General features: G+C 40.0%; 1 protein-coding gene across 27 annotated transcripts in view, besides 1 other annotated feature; it reads left to right on the top strand.

The window, feature by feature from the left end:
• EVI5 (ecotropic viral integration site 5) overlaps positions 1–14,289 on the top strand; it is a 283,715-nt gene extending 269,426 nt beyond the window's left edge. For 14 of the 27 annotated variants that reach the window (XM_047430054.1, XM_017002277.2, XM_017002271.3 and 11 more), the window contains 2 exons: positions 7,941–8,039; positions 9,015–9,417. In XM_047430054.1, coding sequence (XP_047286010.1) covers positions 7,941–8,039; positions 9,015–9,329 — 414 coding nt within the window. In that variant the 3' untranslated portion in view covers positions 9,330–9,417. Of the gene's footprint in view, positions 1–7,940; positions 8,040–9,014 lie in introns of all 27 variants that reach the window. The other 13 variants (NM_005665.6, NM_001308248.2, NM_001377212.1 and 10 more) reach the window with 2 other exon arrangements.
• Positions 18,394–18,583: an enhancer, noted in NCBI's record as "active region_1317". NCBI's record gives its function as "activates an Ori minimal core promoter by ATAC-STARR-seq in GM12878 lymphoblastoid cells {active_cell/tissue: GM12878}" and the evidence as "EXISTENCE:reporter gene assay evidence [ECO:0000049][PMID:35858748]".

The following is a 19,248-nucleotide window of genomic DNA, read 5'->3' as shown; positions in this document are numbered from 1 at the left end:
TAGTTAAAGACCAGCCTGGGCAACCGAGTGAAACCTCATCTCTACAGAAATAAAATAAATACTAGTTAGTGTGGTGGAGTGTTCCTGTATTCCTAGCTACTCAGGAGCCTGAGGCAGGAGGATCACTTGAGCCCAGGAGTTCAAAGATGCGGTGAGCTGTGATTGTGTCCTTGCACTCTAGCCTAGGTGACAGTGGGAGACCCTGTCTCATAAATGAATGAATGAATGTTTTAAACTTTTTACTTACCTAACTGACAAAAATGAAAAAGCAAAAAAGTGATGCAAAGTTGTAGGGAAACCAGAACTTTACAGTGTTGTTGAGGGTGTAAATTCTTTTTTTTTTTTTTTTTTTTGGAGATGGAGTCTTGCTCTGTCACCCAGGCTGGAGTGCTGTGGCGTGATCTCGGCTAGTGAACCCCCGCCTCCCAGGTTCAAGCAGTTCTGCCTCAGCCTCCCGCGTAGCTGGGATTACAGGTGCCTGCCACCACACCCGGCTGATTTTTGTATTTTTAGTAGAGATGGGGTTTCACCATGTTGGCCAGGCTGGTCTCAAGCTCCTGACCTTGTGATCCTTCTGCCTTGGCCTCCCAAAGTGCTGAGATTACAGGCACGAGCCACCACGCCTGGCAAAGGTATAAATTCTTAGCCACCTTTCTGGAGGACAGCTTAAACATAGAAATCAAAGTTCTGTGTTCAAAGTTCAGTGTTAAAACTCATGCTGTATTTTATATTTCTGGCCATATATCTTAATGAAAGAATAAGACGGCTCTGAAGAACTGTGAGTTCAGAAACTGAGTTCATGGCAGTGCTATTGTGAGGAGATGGAAAGCTAAATTTCCAAACAAAATCAGTTAAGCAGATGATGACATGTTGCTAAATGAGATACCGTGCAGCCAGTAAAAGATTATGACAACAAGAAATGTTTGATATGTTATTAAGTGAAAAAGCAGGTTATTAAACAACATGTGTAATGACCAATCCATTTTTGAAAAGTCAATAAGGTTAGAGAAATTATCTTGAAAGCTATATTAAAATGTTAATGGATTATCTCCGGATTGTGGGTTGTAGAATTGCTTTATTTTCTAAGGTGCCTTTAGTTGAGGTATAGTTTGTGTAGTAAATAATAAAACTAAAATTATATGGAAGACCATTTTTTGACAATTTCCAGTAGTTTCTTATGCTGTTAAGCTTTTAAAATGCCCTCAAAAAAAGAAGTCCATGAAATCATTGATAATTTTTTGACATTATTTGATTATTATTTAATGTCAGTCTTTGAATTTTTTTTTTTTTTTTGAGACGGAGTCTCACTCTGTCGCCCAGGCTAGAGTGAGGTAGCGCAATCTCAGCTCACTGGCAACCTCCGCCTTCTGGGTTCAAGTGATTCTCCTGCCTCAGCCTACCAAGTAGCTGGGATTACAGGCACACACCACCACACCTGGCTAATTTTTGTATTTTTAGTAGAGACAGGGTTTCAACATGTTGGCCAGGCTGGTCTCAAACTCCTGACCTCAAGTGATCCATCCGCCTTGGCCTCCCAAAGTGCTGGGATTACAGGCGTGAGCCACAACACCCAGCTGTTAGTCTTTGAATTTTGGATAAAGCATATATTTTATTTCTTCTTTTGAACTGGAGGTTTTAATTTTTTAATGTTTACATTTATCATACACATAAATTAAAAAGTCAAAGAATAATTAAAAGGCTTTTACAAAAAGAAGCAGTCTTGGCTGGGCAGGGTGGCTTAATGCCTGTAATCTCAGCACTTTGAGAGGCAAAGGTGGGTGGACTGCATGAGCCCAAGAGTTTGAGACCAGGCTGGGCAACATAGCGAAACTCCGTCTGTAAAGAAAATACACAAATTAGCCAGGTGTGGTGGCCCACGCCTGTAGTCCCAGCTACTCGGAAGGCTGTGGTGGGAGGATCACCTGAGCCTGGGAGGTAGAGTCTGCAGTGAGCTGAGATCGTGCCACTGTACTCCAGCCTGGGTGACAGAGTGAGACCCTGTCTCAAAAAAAAAAAAAAAGAAGAAGCAGCAATCTCATACGTGCTTTTTGCAGGCCAAAGAAGAAGAAGCAATCTCATACTTGCTTTTTGCAGGCCACTATTTTCAAACTAATTTCTTTTTTTTTTTTTTTAGACAGGGTTGCACTCTATCACCCAGGCTAGAATGCAGTGGTGGTGGGATCATAGCTCACTGCAGCCTTGACCTCCTGTGCTCAAGCAATCCTCCCACCTCAGCTTCCTGAGTAGTTGGGACTACAGGTACACGCCACCACGCCCAGCTAATTTTTGTGTTTTTTGTAGAGACAGGGTCTCACATTGTTGCCCAGGCTAGTCTCATACTCCTAGGCTCAAGTGATTCACCCGCCTTAGCCTCCCAAAGTGCTAGGATTACAGATGTGAGCCACCATGCCTGGCCGCTAATTCTTGAGTGTTCAGTTTTGGCATCTTTACACGGGGAAAGATTTATCTCTTTTTCATTCTCCTCACCCCCACCATGAACCCACAGACTTTTTATCCCACCATGCTACTAATGTAATGATTTTTGTTAGATTAATTTACAGGATCTACATCATTAGTTTACATTTACATCATTAGAATTATATAACTGTCACTCACAACAGAACAGCAAGCTTATAGGTGCTTAAGTATGCCTCTTCTCAGGCCTCTCTTCTGGAATGGAGACTGAAGACAGGCCTGGGAAATTTTATTTTTCACAAGTTTCCAAGATGGTGTTATGAGGGGGGTTGGAAAATAATGTTCTTGTTTTTCTGGCTCTACTTTAAAAAAAAGCTTTATTAAGATATAACTTACATATTATAATATTTTAAGTGTAAAATTCAATGGGTTTTGCATGTTTGCATAGTTTTGCAACTATATGCACAACTTTTAGAACACCCCAAAAGAAACTGCATGCCTATTTGCGATCACCCCCTTTCTTTTCTCTCCCCCAGTCCTAGGCAGCCACTAATCTACTTTCTGTCTCTATAAGATTTGCCTGTTCTGGACATTTCATATAATGGAATCATATAATATATTGTCTCTTGTGTCTTTCACTTAGCTTTCATATTCTTTTTTTTTTTTTTTTTTTAAAGACAGAGTCTTACTCTGTTGCCCAGGCTGGAGTGCAGTGGCATGATCTCAGCTCACTGCAAACTCTGCCTCTGGGGTTCAAGCAATTCTCATACCTCAGCCTCCCAAGTAGCTGGGATTACAGGCGTGCACCACCACACCCAACTAATTTTTGTATTTTTAGTAGAGACGACGGAGTTTCCCCATGTTGGCCAGGCTGGTCTCGAAGTACCGACCTCAGCTGATCCACCCACCTCAGCCTCCCAAAGTGCTAGGATTACAGTCATGAGCCACTGCACCCGGCCAACTTAATATTTTTGAAGTTCATCCATATATCAGCACTTCATTCCTTTTTATTGCCAAATAGCATCAGTTGTATGGAAATAGTGTTTTAATGTGAGTGTTTTGCTGGTATACATTTGCCCAAAGGATTGCCTTGGTTTTTTCATTTGCTTGGTGTGTTCTTTTATGTGTAACTCTCCTCTAGTGTCACGAAATCTCCTTTTATGTGTTAATCTCCTCTATCCAAACAATTTAGGTGTTCTATGAATTTCATCTTCTTGAAGAAATCTTTCTTCTGACTGCTCCAGTCTCTAGTCTGGGCTGGATGCCTCTAGGTCTCTTGTACAGCTGTCATCTTGGGGACATTTTTCATTACCCTAGGGATGATTCCCTTTGCCATACTTTTGTACTGGACTTCCTCTTTCTTCCATCAAAGACAAAAGATGCCTTTTTTCCTTGATGTACTTTATTTTGGTGGAGCATATTATCTACTTTCCTGAAAAAATGGTTTATGGGAGATAAATCATAAAAAGGTTTTATTAGATTCTACATCTCATGATTGATCCAAAAGACGTTTTAAAAACAAAACAAAAAAAGGCCTTGTAGGTCTTAACTCTTACTTAGCCTCACATTTATTTGATAGTTTGAGTGAGTATCTTAAAAATTGAAGATGATTATAAAAATTTTAATGTAGACATTATTTTTTCTCAGAATTTTGAAGGCACTGCTCTGTCTTTTGCAGTTGGAGAGTCTGATGCCATTCTGATTCTTAAATCTTTTATACAAAACATGTTTTTGCTTTTGGCAGGAAGCTTTACCTTTTCTTTCTTTCAAGTGTCCTGAAACTTCACTGAGATGTATCATGGTATAGGTCCACTTTGATCCACTGTCCTGGACACTTGCTAGGCCTTTTCAGTCTCGAAGCTCATGACTTTCAGGTAAGAGAAATTTACGTCTAAGACCTCTTTTTTTTTTTTTAAAGCATCCCTTCTCTCTTAACTGAGTTTTTTCCCGGCTTCTCGGAGATACTATCCTCGAATTCTCTGGTAATATGTGACTCTGCTCAAACTTCAAGACTAGGGAACTAAAGACTGACAGGTGTTTTGAATTCTTGGGTAGGACTTGTTGACCTTCATTGTAGGGTGATCAAACTGAGATCCTTTTGGGGGGAATCCCAGATTCCCTCAGATAGGAGTCTTTTACTAAAAATTACAGAGAGTGCTGGTGCCTCTATTTCCTTAGTGAGTCTCAAAAATACTTCCATGCACATTCAGTGACTTTAAAAAACCCGTGTCTCATTTTACCTGGAAATATAATACTTTTTGTTTTTACTGGCATTTCACAAAAAATTTTTGTTGTTGCTCAGTGTTTGAAGATACTCATGTAGTATGTATTCAAAAATTAGGAAAGACAATGGGCCTCAAAAGCATATGCTTTGCCAGTCATGATGGTTCACACCTGTAATCCCAGCACTTTGGGAGGCCAAGGCAGGCAGATGGCTTGAGCTCAGGAGTTCAAGACCAGCTGGGCAACAATGGCGAAACCCCGTCTCTACAAAAAATACAAAAGTTTTCCAGGTGTGGTGCCATGCACCTGTAGTCCCAGCTACTTGGGAGGCTGAAGCAGGAGGATTGCTCAAGCCCAGGAGGCAGAGGTTGCAATGAACTGAGTTTGCACCACTGCACTCCAGCCTGGGCAACAGTGCCAGACCGTGTCTCCCCCGACCAAAAAAAAAAAAAAAAAAAAAAGCATATAATATTGTATGTGTAATTTTCAAGTGGATAGTTTTTATCAGATTCCTGATTCCCTAATAAGCCCAAAGAGATTTCAAACAAAACCAAAATACAAACAAAAGCCATTGCCTAGAGTAGTGGTCCCTATTCTGAGATGTGCATCAGAGTTATTCAGGTCTTTAGCCCCTACCTCTATACCACAAGAAGAAAGTTGCAGAAAACGTTCATTTAAACAGTTTTCCTTGTGTCAACCATCAGGTGGTAGAATTGGCCCGGAACAGCTTGGTTGTACTACTGGAAAGATCGCATCCATTTCTACATACCAGACACTAGTCAGATGTTCATAGTTCAGAAGCACTTTTGTCCTAAATAATTAAGAGTTCCATTTCAGCTAAATCAACTTTTTTCTGTCTCAGCCCCATTTTATTTGAACCAGAGGGTCTACCACGGTGATTCTGAGAGTTTAGAGCACTGTCATCCCTTGGTATCTATGGGGGATTGGTTTCGGATCCCTATGGATACCAAAATCCATGGATGCTCAAGTTCTGTATATAAAATGATGTAGTGTTTGCATATAACCTACAGACATCCTCCCATATACTTTGAGTCATCTCTAGATTACTTTTAGCACCTAATCCAATGTAAATAGTTGTTATACTGTATTGTTTAGGTGATGATGACAAGAAAAGAGTCGGTACATGTTCAGTATAGAGGAAACCATCCTTTTTTCTCCTAATTATTTTGGACCCACAATTGTTTGAATCCATGAATGTGGGTCGCACTGATACAGAGATCCGACCATATTTCAAAATTTCCTGAATGCGTGTAAAAAATGTATATTCTGGGATTTCACTTTTCAAAAGGATTCAAAATCCTTGGATCTCAAGAGGGATTCTACATTTTTGACAGAGATCCTCAGTTCTTATGCAGATGACTAGTGGATTACGTTTTGAAATATGCTAATCTCAGTTTGCTACTGATAATACCCATAAGGATTTTTTTCTTTTTTTTTTTTTGGAGGAAAGGGAGAGTTGGAAAGGTTGATTGTCTGCCTGCTTTTTGTTGTTGCTTAAATATAGTTTGCCCCTGAAAGTCTGGTAATAAGGATAAGCAGTATATCATTTAGATCAGATAGCCAGGACTGCACTTTAGAGGGCCCAGCTGTGGCTTTCTTCTAGCCAAACCCCTTTCCACAGGATGAGGACTCCCAGAAGACATGTCTACCTGAAGTTCATGCAGCCCCTTCTAGAACATATTCTGGGTAGTCAGTACCCTGGAATTCCTTCCCCAAATGCCCACTTCCAGACCTAGTACAGGACTCCTCCCTCATCAGATCCAGTGTGCACACACCTAAGTCTAAGGGACAGATAACCAAGGGATAGCTTCAGTTTTACCACATAGTCGCTTACCTTCACCATTTTTTCTCTCCACCAATAAATTCCTTTACGTTTGCTATTCCATATTAACAGCTCTCAATGAGATTCCTTTGATGTTGAGGAAATGACCCTTCAACCTATAGTTAATTTTCTATAATTACATCTGATGATGAGGCTGCAGTGTTTTAATTGCAATAAATTTTGTTAGAGCAAAGGAAAGCTGCAGCTTTCCAAACAGTTGGGAAGTTGTGGTTCTTCTGCCATACTCCTCCTTTATAACAGCCAGGAAGAAGGAAGACACATGTTCCATATGATTTCTTCAAAAAGGTCTGGGGGAAAAAGAGAAAGGAAGAGATTAACTGACTTAATTTAACACTTGGAGCTATAAATTGTGTGTTGCAATATTGCGATAGGATGTTGCATCAGAACGTGGCAGTTGTAACAATGCAGTGGGTATCATAACCTTGAGGAGGCCTTTGTGGTGCTATATGCCCTTTTCCTAAAGATTCAACTCCAAGTATAGATCCCTCTGTTCTGCCAAGGAGAATGGTATTATTTAAATTACGTTGTACCTCACTATAAATTTGTCCACTTGGTCTAGGGCACAGGAATATAGTTGAAGGTCTGCTTGGGCCAGACATCATTGTTCTGAGTCCCTGCATCCCTGCTGATTCTTGTTGTCATATACAAGCAGGGAAGTGCTGAGGTTTCTTCACTTCTTCCTGGAAGTCTTTCAGGAAAGCTGGGAGGTATTATGGTGAGGCTGTAATGTCTTTATTCTCAGGACCGTTAGTTTTGAAAGTGTATGTAATATTTCCTGAATATTTCACATTGCCTTTATCTAAAGAATTGAAAGATTGTGACTAGGAGTTTGTCCCTGAGAAACAAGGATGAGGGTAGGAGACGTGGAGCATATTTTAGCAAGATTCTTAATAGTCAGAGTAGATATTTGGTAGCTAATTCTTGTTTTTGGTTTTGGTTTTTTACTCTTCCACTTTATTGTAGGAGAAAATTCATGGTGCATGAGAGAAATGAAATAAGTGACAGAATGTCAAAATCAAACTTTAAAACATAAACTCTTGAGGGCAGAGCTGATGACTTAATTGTATGTGAGTAGAACTGGTACTGTCATGGTTGTGGATTTGGGAGTTTGAGGAAACTTGAGCAAAGAAGTGGCAGATGATGAAAATAAATCAGTTTTAATTCTGATAAAACTGGTTTTGGAAAATGTGGTTTAGATTTAAATGTGGCACAATTTTTTCAATACTAAACTCTAGAATTAGTCAGACTTGCCCACCCAGTAACAGGTAGCTTTTGACCTCCTTAAGCCTCCTTATGTGAGGGTCTTGTACTATAAAACTCCAGGGATTGAGGACTAGAGCCTCATTCTAAAAGATGGGAAGAAAGGGAAAAGAGATGAGTGAGGCATACCATTCCTCTCTCCTCCTCCCCACTAAGAGAAGCCTCACCTTCTCCCCAGGGGGAGTTGGGGAGAGAAGGCAGAAATGTTATACCGGACTGGCACTCCCCCCATGCAGAAGGAAACCTCATGAGTGGGAAGCAGCATTCCTCTCCCACAGTAAGTGACGGTGATATGCTGGCCTTTGGGCTATTATAACAGGATGGAGACTCTTAGCAAAGTTTTAATGATTTATAAATCATTTTCATCATTTACAGAACTATGGAGACATTCTCTCAAGATAGTGTGTGTGATAGTATGGTTTTTAAGTTCATACCTTCTAGAAATACCAGCAAAATATTTACAGATAAACTGATAGGATGTCTGGGGTTTACCTCAAAATTATCCAGGAACAAGAGGTGTGTAATGTAAAAAGATTGTCCATGATGGGTGTTACTTGTTGAAATTAGGTGATGGGTACATGGAGTCCATTATATTATCTCTAGTATAATGAAGATTTAGTTTGAATCTAAACTTTGCTACTAGCTATATATGTCCTTAGCAAGTTACTCTTCCTGAGTCTCCATTTCCTAATCTGTAGAATGAGAAAAGTAAATACTAAAATCTATCACATAGGACGGTTGTTATTATTCAATTAAAGTAAGTTACAGGCCAGGTGTGGTGGCTCACACCTGTAATCCCAACACTTTGGGAGACTGAGGCAGGCAGATTGCTTGAGCCCAGGAGTTTGAGACCAGCCTGGGCAACATGGTGAAACCCCGTGTCTACAAAAAATACAAAAAAATTAGCCAGGCATGGTGACACACGCCTGTAGTCCCAGCTACTCAGGAGGCTGAGGTGGGAGAATCGCTTAAGCCTGGGAGGCGGAGGTTGCAGTGAGCCGAGATCGCACCACTGCACTCCAGCCTGGGTGACAAAGTGAGACTGAGACCTGTCTCAAAAAAAATAAAATAAAAATAATTATGAGCCCATTATATATAACACATAGAAGGCACTCAAAAATTAGTAACTATGATTATACCTGTAAATAGAAAAATAATAAGGCATCTTCTTCCTTAAACATGGAATGTTTGCTTTTTGGCGTGTGTGTGTTTCCCCCATTTGACTGTATTAACTTGGATTTTGTTTTAACAGCTCAGGTGCCTAAAAGGCCAGAGGGGCTTCTCAGGCCAACCTCCTTTTGATGGAATCCACATTGTCAACCATTTAATAGGAGATGATGAATCATTCCATTCCTCCGATGAAGATTTTATAGATAATTCCTTACAGGAAACTGGTGTTGGTTTTCCTTTGCACGGAAAATCTGGTTCGATGTCTTTGGACCCCGCAGTGGCAGATGGTAGTGAGAGCGAAACAGAAGACAGTGTGCTGGAGACCAGAGAGAGCAACCAAGTGGTTCAAAAGGAGCGGCCCCCGAGAAGAAGAGAGTCGTATTCAACCACTGTCTGACCATCACTGTGACCTAGACTATGGATTTATTTAAGGGATCAGTTATCATATGATTAGGGCTTTTTGGAAATAATTTGTTTCATATGTACATATATATATATATATATATATATATATATATATATATATATATATATATATATATTTTACAGTCTTATCTGCCTTTTTATCTTTGCCAAATCTTTACCACTGATTTACCATTGCCATAAAGTAGACTGGTATATGGTTAATGTGTAAAACAAGGTTCTAACAGTATTACTGAATATTAATGTTTCTTGTTTAGAAAATGCAACTATATCTATATGTGGGAACCATTCTGAAGTTCAAAACTATGGAAAATTGAATTTTCTTCAGACAAAACTGCTCTTGTGCAATATTTTATGCTCAGTGAGCAAATTGTGTATTTATGTTTATCAATTTGTTCTCAAGGTGGCTGTCTACAGACATTTGACCAAGACATACATCTGATTTACCTTGTGTTTTTTTTTTTATTGTTGTTTTTTTTTTTAAGACAGAGATTCAGTCTGTCACCCAGGCTGGAGTGCTGTGGTGTGATCTTAGCTCACTGCAACCTCCGCCTCCCAGGTTCAAGCAATTTTCCTGCCTCAGCCTCCCGAGTACCTGGGACTATATGTGCGCACCACCACGCCTGGCTAATTTTTTGTATTTTTAGTAGAGATGGGGTTTCACCATGTTGGCTGGGCTGGTCTCGAACTCCTAACCTCAAGTGATCCACCCGCCTCAGCCTCCCAAAGTGCTGGGATTACAGGTGTGAGCCACTGCACCCAGCCTACCTTGTCTGTTTGTGTCTGGGAGGTTTTTTTTTTCTATTTTTATTTTTTCATGAAAATTATTGGTGGGCCACTGAAAGTCCCCACACACAAAGCCTTTATTCTATATAATTTTATAAACACAAATTCATGATTATCTGTTTTGAGAGTTTTAAGTTTTGTTTTAATGTTTAACTTTTATGTGCATATGATGCTTCCATGTGTTGGTTACTAGAGTAGTAGGTTAACTACAGACATACTGTTTTGTTTGTACATATTTATAAATCTGTACCACCTAACATTGAACATCATTTTATATGAAGAACATACATGTTGCAAAATGACTGCTTTCAGCATCTAACAGGACTTCTGTAAATAATAGGTTAAAAGTTAAAAATAAAACACTAATGTTTTAAGAGCTTTAGTATTTTGCTTAGCATTCAATACTAGCAGATTCATAACTGATGCCTGTTCAAAAACACTGTTGGTGGAATCTTTTATTTCATGTGTATGTAACTACTAAATTTTTCATGACTGAAGAGGTTATAGCACATATTAGTTAGTGCTAATATTCTACTGAATATAATTTAAGCAATGGGCTAAGGTCCAAGAAACATAGCAATTATATCTACAAATAATCTATTAACATGATCTTCAGAATCTCTAGTTTTTGTTCTATAGATAAAGCCATAAGAATCCTTTCCTACCAGTTTTTCCTATATCATTTAGATATTATTTCCTAGAAAACAGGATGCCTGTCACTGATAAGTTAGAGAAAACACCCAAATTATACTTGCACTATGGAAAGACGACATGAATATGTTGACTGGGTACTTTCTACTCTCATTTTTGTTAGCCTATGAAAAAAAAAACATTTTGTTAACCTATGGAAAAAGCCTTGGAAGAGAAAAGTAGAATTCAGTATGTATGGAGGCACAGTTTTGCACAGTATGTTGCATGCGGCAAAAAAAAAAATATGAAATAGAGTAGAAGAGATAAAAGTAGTTTTCTGTCAAAAACTAGGAGTTAAGCCTTCAGGTACGTTGTGGACTAGGCTTTCCAGCAAGGTTTTTGTAGCTATTTGCTTGCCTGAGAAATGAAATTGAAAACATACCCCTGCGTGTCTGTCCTTAACACCAGGCTAAATTCTGGTGGTTAAATAACTTATCTGTGGTTACAAGCTAGTAAGTAGCAGAGCCAAGATTTTTTTTAATATAGAGACAGGTGTCTCACTGTGTTGTCCAGGCTGGTCTTGAACTCCTGGCCTCAAGTGGTCCTCCTGCCTCAGCCTCCCAAAGTGTGGGGATTACAGGTGCGAGCTACTGCTCCCAGCAAGAGCCAAGATTTTAACCTAGATCTCCCTAACACCAAAGCTTTTGAAAGGGTTCAGCTGAAGAATTTCTCAATTCTCTGTTTTGTTTTGTTTTTATTTTTGTTTTTTGAGATGAAGTCTCACTGCACTCAGGCTGGAGTGCAGTGGTACGATCTTGGCTCACTGCAACCTCCACCTCCCGGGTTCAAGCGATTCTCCTGCCTCAGCTCCCAAGTAGCTGGGACTACAGGTGCACGCCACCACAACTGGCTAATTTTTGTATTTTTAGTAGAGATGGGGTTTCGCTATGTTGGCCAGGCTGATCTCAAACTTCTGACCTCAGGTGATCCACCCACTTTGACCTCCCAAAGTGCTGGGATTACTAGACGTAAGCCACCACACCTGGCAATTCCCTGCTTTTTTGACAACATAATTTAAATGAATTTGATTTAAATGTTTCCTGAATATATATACAGATAGATAGATGAGTATCAACACTTACAAGCTCTACACAGTCTGTGAGTGTAGATACTACTTACTCGTAGGATTGTCTTGTGCTTTGGGGATTTTTGTTCGGAGTTCTATACTATCAGCCCAGAAAGCTATCAATGTCCAAGTGAAGTGAGATGATGCATGGCCACATTATTGCTTTGACCCTCACATCAAGAAATCTGAATGATCTGGACCAGGGGTCAGCAAAGTGCAGCCTACAAGCTATTGCAGTCAGCTGCCAGTTTTTACTTTTTTAAATAGTTGGGAAAAAAATTCCAAAGACTGATATTTTGTGTCACATGAAAATTATATGAAATTCAAATTGCAGTGTCCATAAGTAAAGTTTTATTGGGGCACACCCATGCTCACCCTTTTAAATATTGTGTATGGCCGCTTTGTGCTACAGTAGCAGAGTTGAGTCATTGCAAGGGAGACCATATGGCCCAGGTAGCCTAAAATATTTATCTGATCCTTTACAGAAAAAGTTTGCTAACCCTTGATAACAGATACTCTAAAATGCAGGTTTTTCTTCTTCAATTTAGCTCAGTGGTAGGTCAAATTGTTTGCTTTTGCTATTAAGCTTATGATTTGGAAACGTAAAATTTCATGGTGGATATTATAATCAGAACTATTCAAAAGGGAAAACATGCCAGCCATTTTATATGATGAAGTCTCTTATTCCATAGAAAACTGTAGAAAGATATCTGTATCTTTGGAGAAGGAGAAAGAAAGGAAAGAACTCCAGAATCCCATCACTGTTCTTTAAAGCATGCATCACAGACCTTTAAGAGTATGCTTTATTGAGTAAAGGTTATAGTTTGACTTTAAGATAAGAAATTTTCTAGAATCATGTTTGAATTCTAAACGTTGATATTCTTAAGTACCATTTCTGATTAGGAATTAGGTGTTAAAAGAATCATGGTAAGGAAACCTTAATCCGTTGAAACTCTTGTAATTTGGACAACAAAAAACTAGAAATAACACTCTTTTCTTTGAAGATCTGATTCAAATACACCTTAGAAGAGTTTAAAATCTCCCAGGCCTTTAGGATGCAATAGGATATTATGCCTTGGTTTGACTCCTTTTCATTCAAATTAATGTAAGTATGTTGTTCAAGACTTTGAAGCATTGAACAATGTTCTCGATGAATTTTATTTAATTACTGACATTTTGTGATATTTGAATGTTATTAAGTTAAACACTTAGAGTTGAGTATATTCAGGGGAGAAAAGTGAATGAAATGACTCATAATAAGAAAGCTTGCTCCCTTGGGACAGTTACCTTCCTGGTGTCATTGCCATCCTGGGTTGACAAGCTGAGAGTAGAGGATACAAGTGATGTGAATAAAATGGAAATTGCATTGAGTTAATGAAACAGACACTTTTAGATCAAGAAAACACTTCAACAGCCTTTTTAGAAATTGGCACACTCCTATAGTCCCACCTACTCAAGAGGCTGAGGCAGGAGGATCACTAGAGTACAGGAGTTTGGGGCTGTAGTGTGTAATGATCACACCTGTGAAAGAATAACCACTGCACTCCAACCTGGGCAACATGGCAAGACCCTGTCTCTTTAAAAAAAAAAAAAATCCTGGGAAAAGAAGTCAAAGATGTAATTTTACACAATTTCTGCCCCCACCGTCTTTTTTGTTTGTTTGTTTGTTTGTTTGTTTTTTGGCTAGATACTAGGTATTCAGTGTTTGCTGAGATGACAGGTTTCTACTAATCAGCCAGTTATTTGGGAAGGAGAAAAACTTTTTCTCAATTCTGAACATGATGCAGCTTGTTAACTCTCCAGATAGTGCCTTTGATTGAAAATAAGGTCTACACCTTTTTAAGTATATTATTTCTGACATCGTAAGAAATAATTTAGTTCCTTATTCTCATTTATCTTTTATATAATGTACTGTAATATTCAGGTTTAAAGTAAAATAAGTATATGAATTATATTTTGGTAAAACTGTTTCATGACCAGCTTGATTAATGTATATTAACATACCAGACATTGACAGCGAACATTTCATGAAATCAGTTATTTACTTACCAAAACAATGAGTTTTAGCTTGAAAGTTACTGCTGCTCTATTATTAACAAAACTAAGTTTTAAAAATTAATTTTAATTCTACTGAAGTTTAATTTCTGGTTAAAGGTATAGTGGATGCTATTTATGATCCAAGTTTTTACATCACATCCATTGATCTGCCTATCCCTTCTTTTTACTCCAAAGAGGAGATGATAGAATAATACATTCAGTATACTACCAAGAAGCAAAGTTATAATGTGTTTCATTTTGCTATTGGAATTTTTTATTGTAACATTGTATGATAACCTGAAATGTTTACTTGTGCCTTTTCTTTAAACAATTAAAGTTTTCCATTTTATAAGAATTTCTGTTTCCTTCAGCTTTTCAACTTTAAAAGAGGAGGGGCATCAAAACACTGTTAACAAATGGGTGGGGCGCGGTGGCTCACACCTGTAATCCCAGTACTTTCGGAGGCCGAGGCGGGCAGATCACTTGAGCTCAGAAGTTCGAGAACAGCCTGGCCAACATGGTGAAACCCTCTCTCTACTAAAAATACAAAAATTAGCCAGGTGTGGTGGTGCATGCCTGTAGTCACAGCTACTCAGGAGGCTGACACAGAAGAATCGCTTGAACCCGGGAGGTGGAGGTTGCAGTGAGCCGTGATCACACTACTGCACTCCAGCCTGGGCGACAGAGCAAGACTCCATGTCAAAAAAAAAAAAAAAAAAAGGTTGGCCTGATGTGAAACGTTCATTAGCAAGGTTTGTGCTCCGAAGGTGCAGGGACTACATCCACCTGGTCCACCCACATATTTTTAGTGCTAAACAGAGAATCTGGCACGTGATTGCATTCAGTAATTTTTTTTTTTTTTTTTTTTTTTTTTTTTTTTTTTTTTTGAGATGGAGTTTCACTCATGTTGCCCAGGCTGGGGTGCAATGGCAAGATCTCGGCTCACTGCAACCTCCTCCTGGGTTCAAATGATTCTCCTGCCTCAGCCTCCTGAGTAGCTGGGATTACAAGCATGCGCCACCACACCCGGCAATTTTGTATTTTTAGTAGAGACGGGGTTTCTCCATGTTGGTCAGGCTGGTCTCGAACTCCCGACCTCAGGTGATCCGCCCGCCTCAGCCTCCCAAAGTGCTGGGATTTCAGTCGTGAGCCACCACGCCCGGCCCAGTAAATATTTTTTAATTTAATGAAAGACCATCTTTAGTGAAAGATGTCTAGGTTTGTTTCCTTCAGGAACATGGTAATTTTTTGGAAATCTCAATAGCAGTATTTTCATCTCACATTGTACTTTAGGTTATTAATTAGCAACTAATTCAATAAATACATTCAATTATATATAATTTGAGTACACATATAGCTACTATCATAAAAGGAAAGTTATACCTTCTGCATCTTTATCACAATGTTAATGTCATTTAGTTCACAAGCAAGAGCTTACTATATATTCTGCTTTATTCCCAACAGGAATTAAGGTACGTTTTGTAGATACCTGAAATATGACAAGCTATATAATCCAGGGAGTCTCCACTTTGTCACTGACATTTGGAAGTAGCCAAATAATTCTGTTTTGGGAGGCCCTGTACATTGTAGGATGTTTTGCAGCATCCCTGGCCTCTACCCAGTAGATGCCAGTAACACCCCCTCCTTTAGTTGGGACAACCCAAAATGTCTCCAAACATGGGCAAATGTCACCAGCAGGAAGGACAGAGAATGAAAATCACTGCTAGTTGAGAACCACTGCTATAAATTTAGAATTGGGTCATAAAAAGAGCCACTCGGGCCAAACATAAGAATATATACATCATTTGGGGTTTTGTAAATGGCAGAGCAGCTCCCTCACTGCAATCTATTGAAAGTCAGCCCTTGACACAAGGGTTTGTAAAATACAAAAACATAAACTACACACACACACACACACACACACACACACACACACACACACACACACCAGCCAGGTACCGTGATTCATGCCTGTAATCCCAACACTTGGGGAAGATGACATGGGAGGATCCCTTGAGGCCAGGAGTTGGAGACCAGTCTGGGCAAGATAGCAAGCCCCAGTCTCTTTAAAAAAAAAATTATATGTATATATTTATACACATACACACACACACATATATATATACACACACCCCTATTAAAGATGCATCACAAATTTGACTCTGTTTCCAGTAAGTGAAAAAAGTAGTATCTGAACCACAACGAGGTACCATTTTACACACCTATTAGGATGGCTATTTAAAAAATGAAAATATGCCCTGTGAAAACCCGGGAGCTCAAAAGAAAAAAAAAAACCGTTGGCAAAATATGTGGAAAAACTGGAACCCTTGTACATTGCTGCTGGGAGTGGAAAATGGTGTAGCCTCTGTGAGAAACAGTTCAGTGGTCTTTAAAAATGTTAATTGTAGAATTACCATGTAACCCAGCAATTCCACTTCTAGACATATACTCAAAGCAGTAACTCAGATACTTGTACATCAATGTTCACAGCAGCATTACTCATGATAGCCAACATGTGGGAACAACCCATATGACCAACAGGTGAATGGATAAGTAAAATGTGGTATATACTACATATACAACGGAATACTATTCAGCCATAAAAAAGTAAAAGTATAATGCTACAAAATAGATGAACCTTGAAAACATGCTAAGTAAAATAAGCCAGACACATAGTATGGTTCCACTTATATGAGATATCTAGAACAGGCAAATTCATAGAGACAGAAATAGAGTAGACATTACCCAGCAGTGGAGGTGAGGGAAGAGAGTTAACGGCATAATGAATACAGAACTTTTGTTTGGAATGCTGGAAAAGTTTTGGAGATGGATAGTGGTCATGGCTGCATGACACTGATTGTACTTAATGCCACTGAGTTGTGCATTTAAAAATGGTTAAAATGATAAAAAAAAAAAATACTAGGCATGTTAAGAATTTAGCATCAGCCAGGCATGGTGGCTCATGCCTGTAATCCCAACACTTTGGGAGGCCAAGACAGGAGGATCACTTGAGCCCAGGAGTTCAAGACCAGCCTGAGCAACATAGCAAGACCCCATCTCAAAAGAAATAAAGAACTTAAAGTCAACTTATTTACTAAAGATATTCAAATAAAGATATTTAGAAGGAAAAAAAGTAAAACCTGCGGTTATAAAATTTGCAGCGCCCATGAAATAAGAAAATGTTTAGGCGTAAAATTCTAGCACTAGAGCACTAGACTGGGACTCAAGCTTTGTATTGATTAATCCTGGACAAACAACAAAAAATTATGACCTCCTTGCTGATCCATGGACACACCAGACTCCCATCAGGACCCTGCCCTTCCTAGGATGCTCAGCTAAATACCACAAGGCAGCTCCCCACCTCCACCAGGTCTCTGCTCAACCTGCACAGGAGGCCTTTTCTGATCCTTCCGTTGAAAAAGCCTCTTCCTAGCTTTACTTTTCTCCATAGCAGTGATTACAGTCTGACATCCTACCCATTTTACATATTTGTTGGTTTATTGTTTATCTCCACACCAGAATGCAAGCTTTATGAGTGCAGAGATTTTTATCTCTATCCCAGCAGTGCCTTGGCTCTCAATAAATATTTGTTGAATGAATGCATGAATAACTGAAGAAGTCATTTTACCTCAATGTCTTCATTATTGAAACGAGGTAAACATCTGTGAAATACAAATATCAGTAGAAAGTCCAGGATTCCAATGCAGCCAGCCTAGCTCCAGAGTCCTCTAATTACACAATATTGCTTTGGCACAAGGCACAGATCAGTCACTGTTGAGGAAGCAAAGATGAACCAGACCAACTCCTACCCTCATGCATGGGGCAAGAGATACAGGAGAACAGAAGCACTGCCGTGGGAATTCAGAGGTTACCTTCAACTTGGGGGAGGGGCTTATTTTGCGTCCCTACCCCCTCCCTGCCCATTCCCCACCCTGTGTACAGGATGGTGCCCGTGACCCTGCCACAACCTTTATGTACCACGCCCCATTCTCTCCTACCCTATGACCTGCTCAGAGGTGACCTGCTGATGTCACCTAACTGGGTCTATAGCTGCATCTCTCCTGCACTCCAGATTTTACCAAGAATGTCTGAAAATGAGCATCTTAAACCAGGCCCAGAGAACTTTTTAACTCCTCCTGAACTGACTGTCAGTTCACTGTGTCCACGGTGAGATCAGAAGGCTGCTGTGTCCTCACTCCCCTGTTGCCTACGGTTGGCCACCTTTTCAGAGACCACATAGCGTCTTCTCTGAGGCTGTCCTCAGTTACAGGAGAAAGCAGGGTCAGGTGGAAAGAAACTGGTTGGCTTTAAAGATGTTGTTTCTCTGATTTTTTTTTAAAGGAAATGCATACTGTACACATGAGAGACTCCAAGGCTGAGATGCTGTGGCAGTTGAGATGCACCTGGGAGCTCCTAACTGTTCCCTGCCTCTGCCTCAGAGGGCGGGACGGCAGCCATTGCACACCACCCCCTCCACAGCAAACCAGTCAAGCCTTGTCTCTCCCCCCCACCAAGGGGCTCTTCCCCTCCAGCAGAGGCTTTCCTAGTCTCTGGTGTCACCTATGCCCTTCCTGTCCCAGGACAGGAACAGATACACCCCGTTGGTGCTTGCTGTACTTCTACATTCAAGGCACAATTTTGTGTGTCCCTGCCTAACCTCAACCAGGATGACTTCGTCGTGGGTAGAAGAGATGACATCTTATTCATCAGCCTGCTTTGTCACTTTTGTATGTCTCAAGGTCCAGCATCTGTCCTTGTGCCTGTCACTGGAGTGCAGAATTAGACTAACCATGCTCCATTTACAAAGAGAGAGTTTTAAAACCTTTAGCACATGAATGAATATTTGTCTCTGCAGCCTCCTTACCACCAAATACTCTTAAGGTCAAGCTTCGGCTTCCCAGGAGTCCGTGAGCCATTTCCCTCTCCCAGCTCCCTCGGCCCGGCTGAATTCGTGCCAGAACTACAAAAGCAAGCTGCCGGGTGAAGTGGTAGAAAACCAAAGCATGGGAGTCATGATGTTAAGCACAAATTTTTAAAGAACAATTTCATGCATTTCCACTTGTTAACTCTTAGTCCATTCAGAGGCTGAAGGCAGGTCCAGCTCTGCCCTTTTCTGGCAAGCTGCCTTCTAGTTGTGCTGTGGAGGGATGTTCCTGGTGGGCAGCTCCCCAGGCCAGTGCTGGGATTTGAGTAATCACAGGCCCAAGTAGGGTGTGTGGGAAGGTGTGCTGTTTGGTCTGGCTCACAGCCGCTGACACTCTGCAGCTATTTTAAACGGATCCCACAACCTTTCATTTGCTTCACTAATTTCTCT

Source organism: Homo sapiens, chromosome 1, assembly GCF_000001405.40.
Source record: "Homo sapiens chromosome 1, GRCh38.p14 Primary Assembly".
In the NCBI taxonomy this organism is placed as follows: Eukaryota; Metazoa; Chordata; class Mammalia; order Primates; family Hominidae; genus Homo; species Homo sapiens.
This window is presented reverse-complemented; position numbering and strand designations above follow the sequence as displayed.